Raw genomic sequence first — 24209 nt, 5'->3', positions numbered from 1 at the left:
TAAACACAGCTTTCTCGCTTTAACACAGCAGTGCTTCCATTTACACTGAAAACCCTAGCTCCGATCCTAGGACCCTGAGGCTCCTCTGATAGTACAGTCCTGGTTCAGTTGGTCCGTTAGATTCATTTACACATTTAACAACTGTTTTAGAGCACTGTGCAGGGTTACAGCAGTAAACATCACAGTGTCCATCCTCATGAAGTTAAGGTTCTAGTGGAGAAGGCAGAGAGTAAATCAGGTAAGTAAATGCAAAAATAATGTTATAGGTTATGATCATTTCTATGAAGAAAAATAAAGTAGGCTAAGGGGAGAGGGAGTAACACTAACAATGGTGGTCAGGGAAGGCTTCTCTGAGGAGGTGGCACAGAAGTAGAGACGTGAAGGCAGGCAGGGAGTAGGCCATGCAAACACCTGCGGGAAGAGCTTGCGAGCAGAGAGAACAGAAAGTGCAGCGCCCCTCTGGCCGAAGCAGGCCTGTTTCAGGCAATAGCAAGGGGGCGGTGGGGCCGGACTGAAGAGGGAGAGTGTGGAAGATGCGGGGCAAAAGGTTCCCAGGAGCCTCAGCAAGCAGCATCTGGAAGGCCCTGGCAGGCCCTGACTCTGGGTTTTAGTCAACGTATGATGCTAGGCTATGGGAGGGTTTTAAGCAAGTGAGCAACAGGTTCTAATTTATATTAGGTTGGTGCAAAAGTAATTGCAGTGTTTACTGTTAAAAAAAAAAAAGGCAAAAACCACAATTACTTTTGCACCAATCTTGTATTTTGAAAGCTTCATTCTGACAGCTGTTCTGAGAACCAACTTTCACATTTTTTTTTCTTAAGAGGGAGACAGGGTTTCCCTGGAGTGCAGTGGCATGATCGTAGCTGACTGCAGCTTCGAACTCCTGGCTCAAGCAATCCTCCTGCCTCCACCTCCCGAACAGCTGAGACTACAGGCGTGCACCACCATGATAGGCTAATTTTTTTGTATTGTTTATAGAGATGGTGTCTCGCCATGTTGCCCAGGCTGGTCTTAAACTTCTGAGCTCAAGCCATCCACCCGCCTGAGCCTCCCAAGTGCTGAGATTATAGGCATGAGCCACTGAGCTCAGCCAGGATATATTTTAAAGGCAGAATCAACAGGATTTGCTCATGGTTATGAAAGGAGGGAAGAGAAGAGACAAGGAAGAGTCAGGTTTTTGCTTGAGTTGCTGAGTGAACTGCACTGCCACTTAGGGAGATGGGGCTACCAGTGGAGCAGGAAGAGGCTGAGAGGACAAACCAAGAGCTCTCTGCTTTTGACACATGACACTGAAGATGCCTGCCAGACGTCCAAGAGGAGGTACTACGTACACGGCTGATTCTGCAAGTCTGGAACTCAGGAGAGTCTGGGACTGGACTAGAAAAATGAATGTGAGGGCTGAGGAGGTAGAGCTGGTATGTGAATTCATGGCAGAGACAAGATCGTCTTGGAGTTAATAGACAATGTGTAGACTGAAATGTGTTGCTAAAAAATGAATTCAAACTTTTTGAATTTTTACTACTGAAATATAATATGTACAAGAGTCTGTATACATAATGTGTAAGTATGGTTTAAATAATAAAATGAACATCATATACCTACGATCAAGCTGAAGAAACAGTACAATCTCAGAGCCTTTGAAGCATGTAAATTTTCCCATTGGACCTCGCTCTCCCCATCCTTCATCCCCAGCAGTAACCTAAATTCAGGGTTTGTCATAGTTTTGTGCTTGTAACTGATCCTTTAGGAAACAACATTTGTGGCCAAAAAACATCTAACAAAAACTCAGTAATTTCTTCAGACTTACTTTAGGGTTTTGTTTCCCTTTCGGGTTAAAGTAAAATTCAGTTTTTGTCTTTTAGTGCTGCCCAACGGAAATATAACGCAAGCAATATGTAATTTAAAATTTTCCAGTAGCTCCATACGTAAGGGGGAAAGACATAGATAAAATTAGGCTGAATAACATATTTTATTTAACCCAATATACCCAAAGCTTTCATTTTAAATTGTAATCAATATAAAAATCACTAATTGTCATAACCACCGACACAAAGCATGGTTTTAAAACATACCTGTTGGAGGAGCCCTGAGTCGGAGTCTAAAACACAGGCATCAATCAAAATATTCTAAAAGAAACATTTTGAAAATATTACAGGAATAATAACAATAATGATTACCCTATACTGAGAACCTACTACATGCCATACTCTATGCTTAAAATAGCTCACTCAATATGCAACGTGACTCTGCACGGCAGATATTTGCATTTGGCAGCTGAAGCACCCAGGACATGGCTGGGCTGTGGTCACAGAGCCAGCGGGTGAGAAAGCTGTCACCCCACTCGGCATGTCTCCAAAGTCCAGGCTCTTTTCACTACATCATGCTGCCACTCCACAACAGAGAACATTATGCATGGCTATAGCAGCATTTTACATTAAAACTGAAATTTTAAGGAGGTTTTCTTTCTTCATAAACACACCAAAGAAGAAAATGTATTATACTTCATCTGAACATTTCAGCTCTTTGCAAAGTAAAAATACTGAATTTTTACAGCTTCGCCACAGCAACAAGATAAAGAAACTGATGCAAGGTTTATACAGCAAACTGTCAAACCAGGGATTCTTGGCATGGGGTCCAAGGATGGGCTAAAGGTTACCTGAATACCATGAAACTCTATGCAAAACTGTGGTTGAGTGCATATTGTTTTGGGAATGCATCAGATTCTCAAGTGGTCCAGGACCCAAAATAGAGAAAAGACTAGAACATAATACAGATTCTGGATTCCTTGCCCATTCATAAGCCTACGTAGTCAGAATACCTCAGAGTAGAGCATTCAAAAAATGAAATTGACTCCTTCGTTATGAAACAAATACTTTAAACGGCAGGCTCTCAGTTCACCTGTTTCTGTGCTGCAAAGATGACATTCATGAAGTTCATATACTGCAACGCACTGTCTTCTGCAGCCTTAATCACCTAAAAATCACAGTCATGTTAATTCCACCCAGGCACATGCCAGTCCTCTCACACCAATGTCACACAATATACTGCGAACCACAACCAACATTATTCCAGTTTGTCTTCCCATTTATCATTGTTAAATGATACCTAAAGTATAAAGATGACAGTAACATTTCCCCCGAAATCCCGCTCCACGTAACGGTTTGATGAACTCATTCTGGAGAGCACCTACATGGGCAGGTATATACATGCACACCCAAAACACAAACACACACATACACAAAATAAACACATACGCACATATACCCAAAATACACACACGCCCCCAAAATACACACACCTACCCACCCAAAATACACACATGCACCCCCAAAATACACACACACACCCAAAAATACACACACTCCAAAATACACACCCAAAATACACCCATACCCCAAATACACACACCCCAAATACACATACACCCAAAACACACACATATACAAAATACACACACGGACATACACCCAAAATACACAGGTAAGTACACCCAAAATACACACACACACAACCAAAATACACGTACCCCAAAAGTACACACACCACTAAATACACACACCCAACACACACACACAACCAAATACACAGCCCCAAAAAATACACATCCAAAACATACCCCCCAAAATACACCCCCCCAAAATATACACACCCCAAATACACACATAAAACAAACACAAACCCAAAATACACCCAAAACACACAAACACACCCCAAATACATACACACACCCAAAACACACACACATCCAAAATATACACACATACACACATCCAGAATACACACACATCCAAAATACACACACTCACACGTATCAAGATGATTACTTAGCATTCTGCAACCTGCTTTTTCAGTCCACAATATATGTGGGAAAAAATATTCTAATGTCAATGAATTATAATATATACTATGCTCCTTGCGGACTTCATAAATTTCCACTATTTAAGCAGTTTCCAGTTCTCAGTTTTAAACAATACCCTGATGATACCCTCATATACCATCTGCACAGCTCTCTAATTACCTCCGGAAAATAAGCAGTGATTACTAAAGTATATGAACATTTAATTTTGACACAGATTACCAAAATGCACCCCAGAAAAGATTTTTACCAATTTATCCTCCTATCAGCAACCCATGAGAATAAGCAATCCCCAACATCACCATCAACCCTGGGAACTGCCAGCTTTTTCATTTGTGCTAAGCAACAAACAATGAATATCTCGTTACTTGGCACTTCTTTTTTTTTTTTTTGAGACAGAGTCTCGCTCTGTTGCCCAGGCTGGAGTGCAGTGGCGCAATCTCGGCTCACTGCAACCTCTGCCTCCTGGGTTCACGCCATTCTCCTGCCTCAGCCTCCCGAGTAGCTGGGACTACAGGCGCCCACGACATTTTTTGTATTTGTACTAGAGACGGGGTTTCACCATGTTAGCCAGGTTGGTTTCGATCTCCTGACCTCGTGATCCACCCGCCTTGGCCTCCCAAAGTGTTGGGATTACAGGAGTGAGCCACCGTGCTCAGCCTTGAATTTCTTTTTTAAATCTCCCCACCCTGCCAGGAAAAAAAAAAACCTCCCTGATATTCTGACTGAGATTGTAAATTGAATTTACAGTGTGATTTTGGGAAAACTGACATCCAAGAACAAAATATGGCTCTCCACTTATTCTTCTATCGCTCTCAGAATTTTAGTTTTCCTTATCATCAGTTTTACACATTGCTTGTTAAATGAATCCTGGATAGTTAACATTTTTTGCTCCTACTATAAATGCGTTTTATTTCCCATTATGTTTTCTTTTTTTTTTCTTTTTGAGACGGAGTCTCACTCTGTCACCCAGGCTAGAGTGCAGTGGTGTGATCTCGGCTCACTGCAACCTCCAGCTCACTGCAACCTCTGCCTCCCAGGTTCAAACGATTCTCCTGCCTCGGGATCCCAAGTAGCTGGGACTATAGGCATGCACCACCACGCCCAGCTAATTTTTGTATTTTGAGTAGAGACGGGGTTTCACCATGTTGGCCAGGCTGGTCCCGAACTCCTGACCTCAAGTGATCTGCCCACCTCGGCCTCCCAAAGTGCTGGGATAACAGGTGTGAGCCACCACACCTGGTCTCCCGTTATGTTTTCTAATTATAGTTGTCATATAAAAAAGTAATGATTTTTTTATCTTACCAATATCCTTGATTTCATTTCCTGATTGTCTACAAAGAGAAAAAAGCAGAAAAAAATTTAACTAAATCTTACTAATCATATATGGTTTCCTAACCAATTTTTAAACAGTCTAGTAAAGAAATACTAGTAAAATAAGTAGGATTACAGTTCTCATAGGAAAACGTAGGCTCTTACCTTTAACTTCCTTGTTCATTCTATGAATGTCTTAATTTCTTAACATTAAGGAATACAAAAATATTATTTTGCTTCATAAATATTTATAGTAAAAAGAAAAATAACCTCCAATTTTAAATAAACCCAGCATCTACCTAGCTAAGAAGGGAAATGCTCCACTCACCAAGATAAATACACAAGAGTGATTGGGGGTTTTCAGTTCCTAACTCTGCAGTCAACTGGACTTTGTAATCTCACCAAAATATAATCTCTGTCCCAGAAAATTAAAATTCCCAACACTTGACTGTCCTATTCTTACCTACCATGTCCTAAATTTGAATCCTGGGACAAGTACTGATTTACAAATATGTTCAGGCAACCCACATCAAACTCCAGGACAAAATAATCACTCAATACTGCCCCTCCTCCAAAAAATTAATGCCATAAGACTGAGAAAACGTCACACAGATAAAATGAAAAGGTATTGCCCTATGCAAAACAACCCGTTCACCTATGGAGAAGGAGCCACTCATTTATTAAGCTTCAGGGCTCCTAAATGGCTTTTAAAAATCAAACACTGTTCCCAAGTCAAGAAGAAAATGAAAATGTTTAAAAAGTCTGAATTTATCAAAATAAGAAACAAGAAAGCACCCTGAAGCAGTGTTTCCTGAAGGCAGAAAGACATAATGGAGAAGCTAGAGTTTTCTCACTCTTCCCCACTTCCAGTTTTTACAGCTTATCTTTTTTTCTTTTTTTTTTTTTTGAGATGTAGTCTCGCTTTGTCGCCCAGGCTGGAGTGCAGTGGTGCGATTTCAGCTCACTGCAAGCTCTGCCTCCCAGGTTCACGCTATTCTCCTGCCTCAGCCTCCCTAGTAGCTGGGACTACAAGTGTCCGCCACCACGCCCAGCTAATTTTTTTGTATTTTTAGTAGAGACGGGGTTTCACTGTGTCAGCCAGGATGGTCTTGATTTCCTGACCTCATGATCCGCCTGCCTCGGCCTCCCAAAGTGCTGGGATTACAGGCATGAGCCACCACGCCCGGCCTTTACAGCTTGTCTTAATAAACATTTCAAAGCCAGCCACACACTGTGGCCTGTAATCCCAGCACTTTGAGAGGCCGAGGTGGGTGGATCACTTGAAGTCAGGAGTTAGAGACCAGCCTGGCTAACTTGGTGAAACTACATCTCTACTAAAAATACAAAAAAAATTAGCCGGGAGTGATGGCGGGTGCCTGTACCAGCTACTTGGGAGGCTGAAGCAAGAGAACTGCTTGAATCTGGGAGGCGAAGGTTGCAGTGAGCCGAGATTGTGCCACTGCACTCCAACTTGGGCGACAGAGTGAGACTGTCTCAAAAAAAGAAAAAAAAATTCAAAGCCAATGTAAACTATTTTTTAAAAAATTACCCTCCACTTCAGAGTACTCACATGTCCCAGTAATGGGCACCCAAGGTCCTAAGAAATGTCACAAGTTAAGATATGTTTATTACAGAAGACACCTTCTAAATGATTCAGACACCAAGGATACAGCAAAGGGCTTTGGCCAGGGATCCTGCCAGCAAAGTTTCTGTATGTTGACCCTTTATGTCACCTGCAAATAACAGAAAACATTAAAAGGGAATTTTTAAGTACTTTCTTGAACTAAAATCATTGGGTGCTTTATTGAACTAAGTATGCTTTCACACCAAAGCATTCTTCATAAATGAAATCAAACAAGACATTTTCAAACTAGGTTTAAAAACATAGCAATGTGTTCTTGGTAATGGTTAACTAAGCAACTTTTTAACCTTTTCTCAATGTAAAACATCCTGGTGGTTGTTCAGGGGCTAGCCAGAGGGCAGGGGGAACAGGGAGTTAGTGTCTAATGGGTACAGAATTTCAGTTTGTAAAGATGAAAAAGTTCTGGCGATGGATGGCGGTGATGATTGCAAAAGAAGGCGAATATACTCAACATTACTGAACTGTACACTTAAATATTGTCAAAATGGTAAATTTTATGGTAAGTAAATTTTACATTAAAAATTCTAAAAATCGGTAAAATGGCAAATTTTGTTATTTGTACTTTACCATACATACACACACAAAAAGATCCCGTTTTTACTTGGAAAGGTTCCAGTTTATTCATGATCTATGTGGTACAAAATGTCACGCATAAGTCTAGCAGCCTGGACAGGGTACAAGGCTCTGAGGCCCCCTTGCCCTCCCTCTCCCACCATCCCCTCCTTCCCATCACTCTCCGTGCTCAGCCAGTGCGGGGAAGACTGGAGAAGCTCTTTCCTCGAGCCATGAGAAGCAGGGAGGAGTTTGCCACTTGTTTGGTGCCTTGGGTGAAAAAAGTCACTCAAGATATCAAAACCCTAAAACTGCAGTTCAAGAGGGCAAGGAGCTCAGATTGACACTCTGTGCAAGCCAGCTTAGAGCTGGTCCAGGAGAACTGACACCTCATGGGTGAGGTCAGACCAGAAAAGGTCTTGAGCACTATACTGTGAAGCTGAGCTGAGACTTAATCCTGGAGGCCAGTGACTCTCAAGGTGAGATTCTGGAACCAGCTATAGGGGCACCACCTGGCACTGTAATAGAAATAGAAATTCTCAGGACCTCCCTAGATCCAGTGAATCAGAAACTGAGTGGGGCCTGACACTGTTTCAACAAGCCTTCCAGCTGATTTTTTAACAGGTTTATAATGTACAAACCATAAATTCTGGTCTAAAAGTACTTTTGGGTATGCAATTCAATTATTTTTAGTAAATTTACAATTATGCAATCATCATCACAATCCAATTTTAGAACAGTCTCCATTACCCTAAAAGATCATTTGGGCCCATTTGCAATCACTCCCCAGTCTCTGCCCAGCTCTGGGCAACCACTAACCAACTTTCTGTCTCCACAGAATTGTCTTTTCCCCCAGGTGATTCTGATTCAGGCTAAGGTTTGGAAACCATCACCTGCAGGCAGCAGGGAGCCAGGAAAGGCCTATAAGCCCAGGAATGGCAGCTTTGATTTTTAAGATGATAACTCTGGAGGCTGAGTGCAAAGGCTTGACTGGGGAGACAGGAGTCAGAAAACCAGTTAGAGGCTATAACAATCTAGAGCAGTGGCTCTAAACGTGGGGTGAATGTGCCCTACAGGGGGCATCTGGCTATGTCTACAGACATATCTGGTTGTCACAACTGGGGGATATTATGGTGTCTAATGGCCCAAGGCCAGAAATGCTGCTAAACATCCTACAACGCATAGGACAGCTGCCACAACAAAGAATTATCCAGACCAAAATGTCAATAATGCTGAGGCCGATCAAGATGACAATAAGGGATGGGGCCTGGGTGTGGTGGCTCACACCTGTAATTCCAGCCCTTTGGAAGGCCGAGTTGGGTGGATCAACTGAGGTCAGGAGTTGGAGACAAGCCTGGCCAACATGGTGAAACCCCATCTCTACTAAAAATATTAAAAATTAGTCAGGCATGGTGGTACGTGCCTATAATCCCAGCTACTTGGGAGGCTGAGGCAGGAGAATCTCTTGAACCCGGGAGGCGGAGGTTGCAGTGAGCTGAGATCACGTGCCATTGCACTCCAGCCTGGGCAACAAGAGCAAAACTCCATCTCAAAAAAAAGAGATGACAATAGGGATGGGGGCTGGGTGTGGTGGCTCCTGCCTGTAATCCCAGCACTCTGGGAGGCAGAAGCAGGAGGATAGCTTGAGCCCAGGAGTTCAAGACCAGCCTGGGCAACATAGTGAGACCCCGTCCCTATAAAAATTTTAAAAATGAAAAATAAAAAGATGACAATAAGGAGCGGGATTCTGGAGACACTTCTGAGGCTAAACGACTAGGATTTTGTAGCTGATTAGATGTCGGATGTGAGCAGGAGTTAAAAATGAAAGCTTTAAGTTTAGAAAACTACTTGGATGGGAGCTGACAGAAATAGGGAATGGAAATGGTGGTGTGAGTGAGAGCAAAGATAATGAGACTAGCCTGGGCCATGTCCAGAGACTGTGGGACGCTGAAATGGAGGCATTTGAGCATGAAAGAAAGTCTGGGTTAGAAACAAAGTTGGAAAGTGTCCATATGTAAAAGATAATTAAAGGCAAAAGTGGATGAGAACATATAGAGGGAGAAAAGATGAAAATCATGTGCCGAATTAAAAACATATTTTAAGAGACAAGATGAAGGAAAAGCCAGAAATAGAGACTATGAAATAATGTTTCAAGAAAAGAGGAAAAACAGGTCACAGGGCATTCGTAGAAGCCAAAAGTCGTGTTTCCAGAAGTAAAGGCTGCTCAGCAGCGTCAAATGCTGTAGAGGCTAGGCAAATAATGAACCAACTTTGACGAAAATGATTTTTAAAAAGTGAGAACGTGCAGGCATACAACATAAAGAACCTCACATCTTTGAACTTAAAGCCTAAAGGACCTCCAAAATCAACACTATTTGCAAAATAACAATGTTTAAAAGTTGTTACTTTTGGTCATTAGATCTTTAATCTCTTCAACAATAACTTCATTTGCTGAGGTTAAAAGTTCGTATTTTCCATCTTTACTCCCAGAGGGATTAAATTCAGGAGGGTTGCCAGGGTCTCCGAAGAAGTCTCCAAGTCTGCCATTCTTTCCAGGATATAAGAATCGGCTGAAACAGCAGGGGAAAAAACCTGGTTACACCAGGCCTCACCGCCCAGGCTCACTCATGATCAGAATGAAATTCAGCAGAGGCAACAAACAAAATTACAACAATGTGGGACTCACAAGATTCCACGGTAAATTTCATTTTTTAAAAAAAATGTGTAAGATAAAATTAGAAAAAGCGTATAAAAACAAAGAAAAAATGTATAAAATAGGCAAACTGGCCAACATTTGTCTATCACCACAGAATGTTTTACTGATTCCAGTGTTTTCTGAAAAGTGTGGGGAAATACAGAGGGCGTTGGGTTATAATCTCAGAAATGCTGCAGAGGGGTGCCCGTGCCTTCCTTTCTCAAATGACAACCACAACAGGTTCATACCAAATTCTAACTCACTACTAGTTTATTATTTGAGGTACATATCTATCCCAGTAATAAAAATCTGGCCCAAAGGTCCCTGAAAAGATTCTCCCAGTGATTCATGACTCTTTTTTTTTTTGAGACACAGTCTCGCTGTGTCGCCCAGGCTGGAGTGCAGTGGTGCAGTCTCAGCTCACTGCAACTTCCACCTCCCGGGCTCAAGTGATTCTCGTGCCTCAGCCTCCCAAGTAGCTGGAATTACAGGAGTGTACCACCACGTCCAGCTAATTTTTTGTATTTTTAGTAGAGATGGGGTTTCACTATGTTGGCTGCTATGTATGGCTGGTCTCAAACTGACCTCAAGTAATCTGCCTCAGCTTCCTGAAGTGCTGGGATTACAGGCGTGAGCCACCGAGCCCGGCCTCGTGACTTCGTGACTTTTTTTTTTTTTTTTTTTTGAGACAGGGTCTTGCTCTGTCGCCCAGGCTGCAGTGCAGTGGCACGACCTCGGCTCACTGCAAGCTCCACCTCCCGGGTTCACGACATTCTCCTGCCTCAGCCTAACGAGTAGCTGGGACTACAGGTGCCCGCCACCATGCCCGGCTAATTTTTTTTGTATTTTTAGTAGAAACGGGGTTTCACCATGTTAGCCAGGATGGTCCTGATCTCCTGATCTCGTGATCCGCCCGCCTCGGCCTCCCAAAGTGCTGGGATTACAGACATGAGCCACCGCACCCAGCCATGGCCTTGTGACTTTTAAGATAATCAGGTAGAGGATACCTTTGATTAAAAAAAAAAAAAAAAACTTTGACAGGTATAGTTTTTACTGGTATTTTAACCAAACTAATATCATCTTTTCATCCAATTCTGAGAAAAAATATGCAGCGAGGATGGGAGTAAGAGTATGTGTTTGGTGGCCCATGGGCTCTCTCACCTCACCAGAGGAAGCAGGCAGCCCTAAGAACCAAGAAAATCTGACAGCTACCATATGAAATATGTTGGTGAGCAAGAGTCACTTCTATTGTAATGTGGTGATTAAGACATAGAAGAGCCAGGTGTAGTGGCTCATCCCTGCAGTCCCAGCACTTGGGGAGGCTGGGGTGAAAGGACTGCTTGAGCCCAGGAGAGCAAGGCCAGCCTGGGCAACATAGTGAGACCCCATCTCTACAAAAAATACAAAAATTAGCTGAGTGTGGTGGTGCACACCTGTAGTCCCAGCTACTTGGGAGACTGAGGCAGGAGGTCCAGTCACTTATGTCCAGAAGGTCAGACGCTACAGTGACCCATGATAGTGCCACTGCACTCTAGCCTGGGTGACAGAGCAAGATCCTGTCTCCAAAAAAAAAAAAAAAAAAGACATAGAAGAGCTGTGTCTTACATGGTAATTCAACTCTTCTGTCAGTGCATAATGTGAGAAGTAAATATGGCCCAAATTATTCACAAAAACTTTGCTGTATCTGCGGTCACATTTACACATCAGCTGCAGGCTATGCACCATCTTGCAGTGAGTCTAACACAGCCAGTTTTCACACTAGTGTTAGAAGCGACCACTGTTTCTTCTGCCAAGCACCAGATGGAGTAGTTGGCTTGGGTTTAGAAGCCAACGTTATAAGAAAAATCCTTATTTCAAAGCACCAGGTTCACTCACAGAGCAGGGAAACAGGCCATGAGAACTACGCAGAGCTAAAGGAAAACAGAATCACATCTCCCATCTAACTTGCACGCTGGGGCAGACACAAAATGGGAAGACAGGTGAGGGAAAGTAGCTGTCCGATTTGATAGCTCTCTTTCCCTTTTTGCCTAAATAATATAGTTCAATCTGTGCAAATTACATGGGCCATTGTGTAACTCTACTATCTACTAATAATAAGGTTTGCAAATTTCATGGATATCACAATGTACATGTACTGGCTCTTGGTGCTGTGGCTGTTCACTGGTACAGAAAACATTTTCTTTTGCAACATGGAGTAGGAACAATACATGCCAACTGGCACAGAAAACTCATGAATATTAAGCACTGAAGAGCAAAAGCAATCACAATGGTCATACCTTTCTTGAATGTGACTTGCTATCACAGCAAGTTTGTTGGAACGATTCATGAATAAATGCGAATTTCCCAGCACCATCACGGCATCTATGCATTTGGATAAAGTGAACTGTTGGAAAAAAAAAGACATTAGAAAAACAAATTAGCTATCCAAATAACCATGTCAGGTCTTGACATAATTAAGATGTCGTTTAGGCTGGGTGCAGTGGCTCAAGCCTGTAATCCCAGCACCCTGAGAGGCCAAGGTGGGAGGACTGCTTGAGTTCAGGAGTTTGAGACCAGCCTAGGCAACATAATGAAACCTTAGCTCTATAAAAAAAACAAAACTAGCTAGGCATGGTGGTGTGCACCTGTAGTCTTAGCTACTCTGAAGGCTGAGGTGGCAGGATCGCTTAAGCCCTGGAGAGCCAGGCTGCAGTGAGCCAAGATTGTACCACTGTACTGCAGCCTGGACAACAGAGCTAGACCCTGTAACAAACAAACAAAAAAAAGACTTCATTTAAATTTTAGACAATTATTCACTGTTAAAAATTTGCTCAGGAGCTCCCCTCCTCCAAAGCCATAAACAAAAACACTTGAAAACTATAGTTTTCTAATTGTACTTATATGAGATCATTTCTACATCAGTACAATATTCCACAAATATTTGCAGTGTAACATTTAAAGAATAACAAACATGTCACATGTTCTGTGATAAAATTTCCAGCAAACTATTACTATATGTGGAGTAGATAATGAATACATACTGAAAACACTGGAGACCTTTACAATTTTTTAATTCATTTGTTCACTAACTATACTGAGCCACTACTGTACGTCTGGTATATACTTAGTGAACAATATAGTTGTTGCTCAGTATACTTAGTGGGTAAATGAATTAAAAACTTTTTTTTTTTTTTGAGATGGAGTCTCACTCTGTCGCCAGGCTGGAGTGCAGTGGCCTGATCTCGGCTCACTGCAACCTCCAACTCCCGGGTTCAAGCAATTCTCCTGCCTCAGCCTCCCCAGCAGCTGGGACTACAGGCCTGTGCTACCTCGCCCAGCTAATTTTTGTATTTTTAGTAGGGATGGGGTTTCACCATATTGGCAAGGATGGTCTCGATCTCTTTACCTCATGATCCGCCCGCCTCGGCCTCCCAAAGTGCCGGGATTACAGGCGTGAGCCACCATGCCCAGCCTAAAAACTTTTAAAGTTTGAAAAAACAAATAAAGAATATCCCTTCTTTCCTCGAGCTCACCTTCCCACAAGAACTAATATTATTAAGAAACATAAGTCAGTATTTTTTTTTTGGTACTCATATGTTCAGAGAAACTTCTCTAGTAACAAACTAAACAAATGATCCTTGAAGTTTCAGTCTTCATAAGTAGATATTTTCATAATCCTGGAATATGGCCTGTTTCTCTTAAATAAATACTTCAGGTAGAAAACAGAACACTGGTGGCTGGGCGTGGTGGCTCACGTCCCAGCACTTTGGGAGGCCGAGGCAGGCAGATCACCTGTGGTCAGGAGTTTGAGACCAGCCTGGCTTACGTGGCAAAACCCTATCTCTACTTAAAATACAAAAATTAGCTGGGCGTGTTGGCACGTGCCTGCAGTCCCAGCTTCTCGGGATGCTGAGGTGGGAGGACTGCTTGAGCCCAGGAGGTGGAGGCTGCAGTGAGCTGAGATCGTGCCACTGCACTCTAGCCTGGGTGACAAAGACTCCATCTCAAAAAATAGACCAACACACTGGTAAATTTCACCCTACTGGAAAAAAAACTTAAATCTATTAAAATTTCTAATTGGCGAAAAGTGACAATATAAATAAAAGTGAAAGAAAACAAGTTACAAACTGGAAAAAACCAGTTGCAACACATGGCAAGTAATGGGTTAATCCTTTAATATAAAAGACTGTCCATAAATCATTAATTTAAAAAAAACCACACACTATGAATATCCAAAGAAAGAAGTGGGTGATGTCCCAAGAGAGAAATACAAATGGCCACGAAATACACTGGAAGCAAATTGAGATTACGTTGTTTTTTGCCTCATATTGACAAAAGATGAAATAAGGAGAATGAACATTTTGTGTTGGTACAAGAAAAAAGGAACTCTCATACAGCACTGATGAGTGCAAACGCAGCCTTTCTGGAGTAACAGGGCAGCATGCAGTGATGTGCTGGCGGATGTTTAACCATTCGCTCCCCAAAACCGAGGTACCCATGTACACAAGTACATACGAATATTACTGATACAGCAGTATGTAGCACACAATTTACAAATAACAGTAAAATGCACAATACTCTTTATAGTAAATTGCATAAGTCAATGGATTCTCACAGAATGCCTATGTTGATTTTTGCTGAATTCTTGTATCCATAGCTAATTGAAAAATGAGTATGGTTGGGCCGGGCGTAGTAGCTCACACCTGTAATCCCAGCACTTTGGGAGGCCAAGGCGGGCAGACTGCCTGAGCTCAGGAGTTTGCAACCAGCCTGGGCAACATGGTGAAACCCCATCTCTACTAAAATACACACACAAAAAATTAGCTGGGCATGGTGACGTGTGCCTGTAGTCCCAGCTACTCGGGAGGCTGAGGCAGAATTGCTTGAACCCGGGAGGTGGAGATTGCGGTAAGCCGAGATTGCACCACTGCACTCCAGCCTGGGCGACAGAGCAAGACGCCATCTCAAAAAAAGAAAAAAGAGTATGGTTTCAGCTGAAAAATGAGTGTAGTTCTAACATGAATATTGTCTGATATTTTTATTTTTTGTTAACAAGAGAAAAGATGCTTATACTTGGTGTAAGCAACTGTGTAAGTAACAATTATAACACTGCGTTATCAGATTTATAACATGCGCAGGTGTAATATGTATGACAATAAGAACATGGGGAAGGGGTGGAAGTGGATCTATATTGGAGCAAAGCCTCTATATTTTACTGGAATTAAATGAGTATTAATCTAAAGTACACAATGATAAGATACATACAGTAATCCCTACAGCAACTGTTGTGGGTCGAATTATGTCCCCCCAAAAGATATGTTCAAGTCCTAACTTCTGGTACATGTGTACATGATCTTTTTTGGAAATAGAATCACAAGTAAGAAGAGATTGACCAGGTGTGGTGGCTCATGCCTGTAATCCCAACACTTTGGGAGGCTGAGGTGGGCGGATCACGAGGTCAAGAGATCGAGACCAGCCTGGCCAACACGGCGAAACCCCGTCTCTACTGAAAATACAAAAATTAGCTGGGTGTGGTGGTGCATGCCTGAAATACCAGCTACTCGGGAGGCTGAGGCAGGAGAATTGCTTGAACTCGGGAGAGAGAGGTTGCAGTAAGCCAAAATCATGTCAATGCACTCCAGCCTGGGCGACAAAACTAGACTCTGTCTCAAAAAAAAAAAGAAAAGAAAAAGAAAATAACTGAAGGCTGGGTGCAGTGGCTCATGCCTGTAATCCTAGCACTTTGGGAGGCCGAGGCGGGAGGATCACTTGAGGTCAGGAATTAGAGATCAGCCTGACCAATATGGTGAAACCCTGTCACTACCAAAAATACAAAAATTAGCCAGGTATGGTGGCACGCGCCTGTGATCCCAGCTACTCGGGAGGCTGAGGCAGGAGAATTGCTTGAACCAGGGAGATGGAGGTTGCAGGGAGCCGAGATCGTGCCATTGCACTCTAGCCTGGGCGACAAGAGCAAAACTCCATCTCAAAAAACAAACAAACAAACAAAAAAACTAAAAATATACAGAAGAATTAATCAAATCAACAGAAGAATTAATATAGTACGTAAAAAATATTTATTTAACACAAAAGACAGTAAAGGAGGACAAAGAACCAAAAAATTCATGATACATACAGAAAACAAATAACAAAATAGCAGATATGAACGCAACCACACTAATAATTATATTAAATGTGAGTACACTAACTGCTGCTATCAAAATATGGGGAAATGGGCATGGTGGCTCACACTTGTAATCCTAGCACTGCTATCCAGCCTGGGTGACAGAGTGAGACTCTGTCTCAAAAAAAAAACACACAAAAAAAAAAACGGGGGCAGACACGTGGCTCATGCCTGTAACCCCAGCACTTTGGGAGGTCGAGGCAGGCAGATCACTTGAGGTCAGGAGTTCAAGATCAGCCTGGCCAACATGGCGAAGCCCCGTCTCTACTAACAATACAAAAATTAGCCAGGCGTGGTGGTACACGCCTGTGGTCCCAGCTACTTGGGAGACTGAGGCAGAAGAATCGCTTGAACCGGGAGGCAGAGGTTGCAGTGAGCAGAGATCACACCACTGCACTCCGACCTGGGTGACAGAGCGAAACTCCATTTCAAAAAAAAAAAAGAAATACACAATTCAACAACAATACTTCATTTCAATATTCCATTCTCGATAATTTTTTTATTTTTTTATTTTATATTTTTTGAGACGGGGTCTTGCTCTGTCTCCCAGGCTGGAGTGCAGTGGCATAGTTATGGCTCACTGCAGACTCAACCGCCTGGGCACCAGTGATCCTCCCACCTCAGCGCCTCAAGTAGCTGGGACTATAGGTGCGCTATCACGCAACTTAAACTAATAGACATTTATAGAACACTTCACTAGAAACAAAAGAATGCACATTCTTTTCAAGTAGACATGCAACATTCTCCAGAACAGACCACACAATCGGCCAGAGGTCAGTAAACTTGTTTTGTGAAGGGCCAGATAGTAAATATTTTAGGCTTTTTGAGCCATGCAATCTTTATTGCTACCCACCTCTGCTTTTGTAATGCAAAAGCTGCCACAGAAAATACATAAATTTATGAGTGAGGCTTATTTATAGACCCAGAAATTTGAATTTCATATAATTTTCAAGTCACAAAAATGTTATTCTTCTGATTTTATTTTAAACCATTTAAAAGTGGAAAACAGCTAACCTGTCATTAAAAAGAACAGACAAGGCCAGGCACAGTGGCTCATGCCTGTAATCCCAGTACTTTGGGAGGCCGAGGTAGGCAGATCACCTGAGTTTAGGAGTTCGAGATCAGCCTGGCCAACATGGTGAAACTCCAACTCTACTAAAAATACAAAAAATTAGCTGGGCGTGGTGACGGATGCCTGTAATCCCAGCTACTCGGAAGGCTGAGGAAGGAGAATCACTTGAACCCAGGAGGCAAAGGTTGCAGTGAGCCGAGATCGCGCCATTGCACTCTAGCCTGGGCAACAAGAGCAAAACTCCGTCTCAAAAAAAAAAAAAAAAGGCCACAAAAACCTCCCCACTATAACCTGTTTGATTCCATTTACATGAAAAAAATCTAGAAAATCCAAACTAATCTACAGTGACACAAAGAGATCAAGAGTTGCCTGGGAGTACAGACAGGCAAAGAAGGTGTGGTCGAGAGTGGGACCAGATTACAAACGAACAAACATGAAGAATCAGCCAGGTGCGGTGGCTCACTCCCATAATCCCAACACTTTAGGAAGCCAAAGCGGGCAGATCACATGAGGCCAGGAGTTCGAGACCAGCCTGGCCAACATGGCAAAACCCCATCTCTACTAAAAATACAAACAATTAGCTGAGCATGGTGGTACGCACCTGTAGTCCCAAGTACTCGGGAGGCTGAGGCATGAGATGGTGGTGCTGATGGACACACAAATCAATGAATGTGGTAAAACTGCACAGAACCACACACATACACGCACGCACGCATACACACAAGTGAGCACATGTAAAACCTGCAATCTGCTTAGGTCTGTAGATTGCACTGATAGTTTCAAAATTGTACTATCATTATGTAAAATGTCACCACTGAAAGAACTTGAGTGATGGGTACACAGGACCTCTCTGTATCTTTTCTGGTTTCCTATGTCTATATTATTTAAAAATAAAATATTTCAAAATAGAAAGTATTTTTTAAGACCACATATTGTATGAAATCAATACATGAAATGTCCAGAAAAGGGAATTTAGAGATAGAGGGCAGATCAGTGGTTGCTTGCAGCTTGGAGATAGAAGCAGGGATTGACTGCAAGCAGGCATGAGGGAACGCTACGCAGTCAAAGAAATATTCTAAAGCAGAAATGTGGGGCTGGTTACACAACTTCGCAAATTTACTTAAAAAAAATCACTGAATTGTACAGTGGCTGAATATTACAGTATGTAAATTATACTTTAATAAAGCCATTTTTTAAAAAAGCAATATAAACACTCAGTTAAACCAGAATTCTCCAAAGGCCTCCTCAAGCAGTCTTACCTGAGATTCCTTTAATGCTTGCTTTCCCCACCAAATTGGGTTGGCATCAACTACAATAACCAGAAGATTCAATTCATCTTCTGAAAATATTAACAAGAAATAAAATTTAAAACATTAGCTCCATAAAAATGAATCAAAGCTAACATTCCCAATTCATAAATTAAATCCAGAGCACCACTATATGCCTTAAATGTTTATCACCTTATAATTATGAGATTAACAGAAGACCCAGTTAAAGCTTTAAAGCTGGGCAGGGCGTGGTGGCTCACGCCTGTAACCCCAGCACTTTGGGAGGCCGAGGCAGGCAGATCACGAGGTCAGGAGATCGAGACCATCCTGGCTAACACGGTGAAACCCCGTCTCTACTAAAAATACAAAAAATTAGATGGGCGTGGTGGTGGGCGCCTGTAGTCCCAGCTACTCGGGAGGCTGAGCCAGGAGAATGGCGTGAACCCAGGAGGCGGAGCTTGCAGTGAGCCGAGATCACGCCACTGCACTCCAGCCTGGGCCACAGAACAAGACTCTGTCTCAAAAAAAAAAAAAAAAAAAAAGCTTTAAAGCACAGTGGGCCCTTAGCAAGTTCTTGTCTACGTCCTGAACCACTATATCTCCAATGCACTAAATGTAAACTCTGTGAGGGTAGGAATTTTTGTCTCTTTTGTTCACTGCTTATCCTCACTCCTACCACACTGCCTAGCACATTGCAGCTGCTCAATAAATATCTACTGAACGAGGGCCAGGTGTGGTGGCACAGGCCTGTAGTCCTAGCACTTTGGGAGGCCAAGACAGGCAGATGGCTTGAGCTCAGAAGTTCCCAAGACCAGCCTGGGCAATATCGCAAAACCTTTTCTCTACTAAAAATATAAAAATTAGGGCCGGGCGCGGTGGCTCATGCCTGTGATCCCAGCATTTTGGAAGGCCAAGGAGGGGGGATCACTTGAGGTCATAAGTTCAAGACCAGCCCGGCCAACATGTTGAGCCACCCCATCTCTACTAAAAATACAAAAAAAAAAAAAAATTAGCTGGGTTTGGTGGCAAGCACCTGTAATCCCAGCTACTCGGGAGACTGAGGCAGGAGAATCACTTGAACCCGGGAGGCGGAGGCTGCAGTGAGCCAAGATTGCACCACTGCACTCCAGCCTGGGTAACAGAGCAAGACTTCATCTCGGGGAAAAAAAAATAGCCGGGCATGGTGGCACATGCCTGTAGTCCCAGCTACTCAGGAGGGTGAGGAGAGAGGATCGCTTGAGACCGGGAAGTCGAGGCTACAGTGAGCCATGTTCCTGCCAATGCACTCCAGCCTGGGAGACAGAATGAGACCCCGTCTGGAAACAAACAAACAAACAAACAAACAAACAAAACCACCTACTGCATTCTGAATGCCTGGTCAAGGACAGAAGGCACTGGTTAACTAGTAGTAGGAATCCCAGTGGTAGAATTTCAGGAGCAAAAAATTAAAGGGAGGCGTAGCTGTCAATTTGGCCCGTACTCATCAAATCATGTAGCAGCAAGGCCAATCGTAATTAAGAGTCACTTTTTAAAAGGTAAAAAAACCAGGCTGGGCGCCCATCCCAGCCCTTTGGGAGGCTGAGGTGGGCAGATCACTGAGGTCAGGAGTTCAAGACCAGCCTAGCCAATATGGCAAAACCCCGTCCCTACTAAAAATACAAAATATTAGCCGGGCATGGTGGTGCACACCTGTAATTCCAGCTACTCGGGAGGCTGAGGCAGGAGAATCACTTGAACCTGGCAGGCAGAGGTTGCAGTGAGCTGAGATCTTGCCACTGCACTCCAGCCTGGGTGACAGAGTGGGACTCTGTCTCAAAAAAAAAAAAAAAAGTTAAAAAACAGAGGGAAAAGCAATTCCTACGTCAAGATTTTACTGTTAAGAGGAATTCTATTCTCTAAACTAAACAGGCTACCACAACACATTAATCATTCATTTGGATTTTTGTTTTTTGGGTTTTTTTTAAGAGATGGGGGGGTCTCAATAAATTGCCCAGGCTGGTCTTGAAATCCTGGGCTTGTGATCCTCCTGCATCAGCCTCCCCAGTAGTAAGGACTACATGCACGCACCACCCCAAACACATTAATCCTTCAACAAACTTTCACACTACCAGTGTTAGGTGTTGGGGATACTGGGTCCAACCCCTCAAAGAGACTATACTCTAATTGAGGTGACAGACAGACATACAAACCTGTGAGTATACACTGTTATGAAAGGCCCAGGATGCTCATTTATTTATTTATGTATTTTTAAACAAATTTTTGAGACAAGGTCTCAAGGTTGGAGTACAGTGCCACGAATATAGCTCACTGCAGCCTTGACCTCCTGGGCTCAAGTGATCTTCCTGTCTCAGTCTCCCACACAGCTGGGACAACAGGCGTGCACTACCACATCCAGCTAATTATTATTTTTTTTTTTTGAGACGGAGTTTTGCTCTTGTTGCCCAGGGTGGAGTGTAATGGCGCGATCTCGGCTCACCGCAACCTCCGCCTCCCGGGATCAAGCGATTCTCCTGCCTCAGCCTCCTGAGTAGCCGGGATTACAGGCATGCACCACCACGCCCAGCTAATTTTGTATTTTCAGTAGAGACAGAGTTTCTCCACGTTGGTTAGGCTGGTCTCGAACTCCCGACCTCAGGTGATCTGCCCGCCTTGGCCTCCCAAAGTGCTGGGATTACAGGCATGAGCCACCACACCCAGCCACTTGGCTAATTTTTAAATTTTTGTAGAGACAGGGTCTCACTTTGTTGCCTAGGCTGGTCTCGAACTCCTGGGCTCAAGTGATCCTCCCACCTCAGCCTCCTAAAGTGTTGGGATTACAGGCATGTGCCGCCGTGCCCGGCTCTAGGATGCTCATTTAATAGCAAAGAGCAGTAATGCCTTTCCTCCCTCCGTACTTTGCTTCCTGCAGTCCTGTCTTCTACATTAGGAGAATCTCTACCCCATCTTTGATTTCTGTGTATTCAAATCCCAATTACTCCTCAAAGCCCCAAACCAGCGCAAACTCTTTCTTCTTCATGACTCCCCTATCTCAGAGCAGAAGGAATGCCAGCCTCCTCTGCACTAAGCACCGGAATCTGCAATCCCAAAATCCCATTCCACCCTGACAACCACCCAGCAAAGGACATTTTCCTGCCATTTTTCATCAATTATAAGATGACCCCCACCCCTTGTTTTTTACATTGAATAGTTGTTGACATCTGGATGGTATCTTTATCATTAAGATTAGCAGCATTTTTTCTTTCTTAATGGTATATTAAATAAGGGCACATCTCATAATCAATATTATCTTAGATTAGCTGAAATATGATATATGGTATTCGTATTCTGCAAATGAAAGTAACTTGTCCTAAGTCACATATGGCCTGCTAACAAGTGGCAAGGCCAAAGCCCTGTTCTAAAGACAGATCTGCTTGACTATAAAGACTGTGGCTCTTCACTGCCCCACTGCCCACCTCTGACAACCCACAGCTCTCTCTTCTAATGACACTTAGCACTTACTATTTTATTTTACAGTTAGTTGTGCTTCTGATCTCTCGTCCCAGTCCTGCCCACTTAAGACTGTGGACTTCTTAAAAAATGATGGAATTTGCTAATCCTAGGATAAAATAATGTGTGTAAATCAGAACTGGTGTAGTGGCTCACGCCTGTAATCCCAACACTTTGGGAGGTCGAGGCAGGAAGATTGCTTCAGCCCAGGAGTTTGAGACCAGCCTGGGCAAAACAGTGAGACCTTATCTCTACCTTTTTTTTTTTTTTTTTTTTGCGACGGAGACTTGCTCTGTCGCCCAAGCTGGAGTGCAGTGGCACGATCTTGGCTCACTGCAACCTCTGCCTCCTGGGTTCAAGCAATTTTCCTGCCTCAGCCTCCTGAGTAGCTGGGATTATAGGTGTGCGCCACCTTGTCCGGTTAATTTTTTTGTATTTTGAGCAGAGACGGGGTTTCACCATGTTGGCCAGGCTGGTCTCGAACTCCCGACCTCAAGTGATCCACCCACCTTGGCCTTCCAAAATGCTGGGATTACAGGCGTGAGCCACTGTGCCCAGCCACTTTTTTTCTTTTTTAATAGAAAAACAAAACAAAAAAATGTGTAAATCACACAACAAAGCACCTAGGACAGAAGCACTTAATACAACTGTGTCTGCCAGACAGAAAAAGCGTTGCCTGTAAAGAAAGGTGTGCATCTATACACATGCAATGACCCTGTGAATTTCCTTCTTTAGTTCGCTACCTCATTTGTAGACAGGAGCAATGCCAGGCCTGCCTCCCTCACAGGGTTGTGGTATGGTTTCACATCAATTAAGAGAGGATGGACAATTATTACAGTTCCTGAAAGGACTCCCCTATCTCTATTCTTGCTCCCCACAGTCCATTTTCCACACAACAGCCACAGTGATCTTTTAAAATTGCAAACCAGATCATAACACTTTCTGGCTTAAAACTCTACAATGTCTTTGTATTGCACCTAAAAATAAAGGCCAACTTCTCTATCACGGCCAATAAGGCCCTGCATGACCTGAAACTGGCTGGTTCTCTGATCTCATCCCTCTAGCCTCCTTTTAAATCTTCAAGACATCTGACTCTGTATGTGGTAGTTTAATGTATGAATGAGTCTCCCCACCATCCTCTACCCGCAAGCTCTCCATTTCTCCCTTCTCAGTGTAACTTGGTGGCTCAATCTGCCACAGGGCCCATGCACTTAAAGTGCACTTCCCCCAGAACTTCACATAATCATTCAAGTCGGTTTCAATATCCTGCACTTTTCCTAGGCCCCTATCTAAAACAGCTCCTCCTCAATCCTAGTCACAATGTACTATTGTAACTAGGACCGTACTGTTACATCATCTTCATAGCTCTTTTCATCCTTTGAAAAATAATTTATTTTTTAATTTTTTATTGACGAGGTCATGCCCTGTCGGCCATGCTGGGTGCAGTACTGCCATAATAGCTCACTGAAGCCTCGAATTCCTGGGCTCAAGTGATTCTCCCGCCTCAGCCTCCCGCGTAGCTGGGACCACAGACACGCGCTACCACGCCCGGCTAATATTTCATTTTTTTTGTAGAGATGGGGTCTGGCTGTGTTGCCCAGGCAGGTCTCGAACTCCCGGCTTCAAGCGATTCTCCCTCCTCGGCCTCCCAAAGTGCTGGGATTACAGGCCTAATCCACCGGGGTGCGACCCGGCCGAAATTATTTTTATTTATTGTCATCTGTTTCACCCAGTAGACTGTAACCTCCACTAAGGCCCCTGTCTGTCACGATCTCTGCTAAAATCCAGAAAATAATGCCTGTACACAGGAGGCGATCCAAAACTATTTACTGAATGAATGACTGAATGCCTTGGCTACTCCTCTAAAGACCAAACGGATTCTATCCAGCCCAAAAGACACATTCCATCTGGCCAGTCGTAGCCGGACCGAGACAGCCGAGCCCCGGAGTCGAAGTCCCGCCCTGCAGGGTCCTCACCGTCTGAAACCATGGCTGTCCCAGCACCTCAGCGCAGAGCAAGTGGTGGTCAGGGGAGCGTCTCAAATCCTGCGCAGCCCAACGTCCGGCGCCGCCAAGTGACGCACGAGGTGCTGTGACTCGTGCCAGCCCCCTAATCTGCGGAAGTGGAGTGCGGGGAGTGCGCCGGAAGAGGGGTACGGAAG

At 43.5% G+C, this 24209-nt stretch overlaps 1 protein-coding gene across 5 annotated transcripts in view, besides 2 other annotated features; it reads right to left on the bottom strand.

The window, feature by feature from the left end:
- The window catches only part of GTF2H3 (general transcription factor IIH subunit 3), a 28776-nt gene extending 4708 nt beyond the window's left edge, over positions 1–24068 (bottom strand). The window contains exons 1-9 of one of the 5 annotated variants that reach the window (NM_001516.5): positions 24025–24068; positions 18554–18633; positions 12336–12442; positions 9771–9934; positions 6841–6903; positions 5336–5365; positions 5162–5190; positions 2899–2973; positions 2073–2126 (exon numbers count right to left, since the gene is read on the bottom strand). In NM_001516.5, the coding sequence (NP_001507.2) occupies positions 2073–2126; positions 2899–2973; positions 5162–5190; positions 5336–5365; positions 6841–6903; positions 9771–9934; positions 12336–12442; positions 18554–18633; positions 24025–24037 (615 nt within the window). In that variant the 5' untranslated portion in view covers positions 24038–24068. Of the gene's footprint in view, positions 1–2072; positions 2127–2898; positions 2974–5161; positions 5191–5335; positions 5374–6840; positions 6904–9770; positions 9935–12335; positions 12443–18553; positions 18634–24024 lie in introns of those variants that run through there. The other 4 variants (NM_001271868.2, NM_001271867.2, NM_001271866.2 and 1 more) reach the window with 4 other exon arrangements.
- Positions 12650–12845: a silencer, noted in NCBI's record as "fragment chr12:124129599-124129794 (GRCh37/hg19 assembly coordinates)". NCBI's record gives its function as "represses an EF-1alpha promoter that drives an FKBP-Casp9 reporter gene in an ReSE screen in HepG2 liver carcinoma cells {active_cell/tissue: HepG2}" and the evidence as "EXISTENCE:reporter gene assay evidence [ECO:0000049][PMID:32094911]".
- Positions 23995–24184: an enhancer, noted in NCBI's record as "active region_7273". NCBI's record gives its function as "activates an Ori minimal core promoter by ATAC-STARR-seq in GM12878 lymphoblastoid cells {active_cell/tissue: GM12878}" and the evidence as "EXISTENCE:reporter gene assay evidence [ECO:0000049][PMID:35858748]".

Source organism: Homo sapiens, chromosome 12 (genome assembly GCF_000001405.40).
Source record: "Homo sapiens chromosome 12, GRCh38.p14 Primary Assembly".
In the NCBI taxonomy this organism is placed as follows: domain Eukaryota; kingdom Metazoa; phylum Chordata; class Mammalia; order Primates; family Hominidae; genus Homo; species Homo sapiens.
This window is presented reverse-complemented; position numbering and strand designations above follow the sequence as displayed.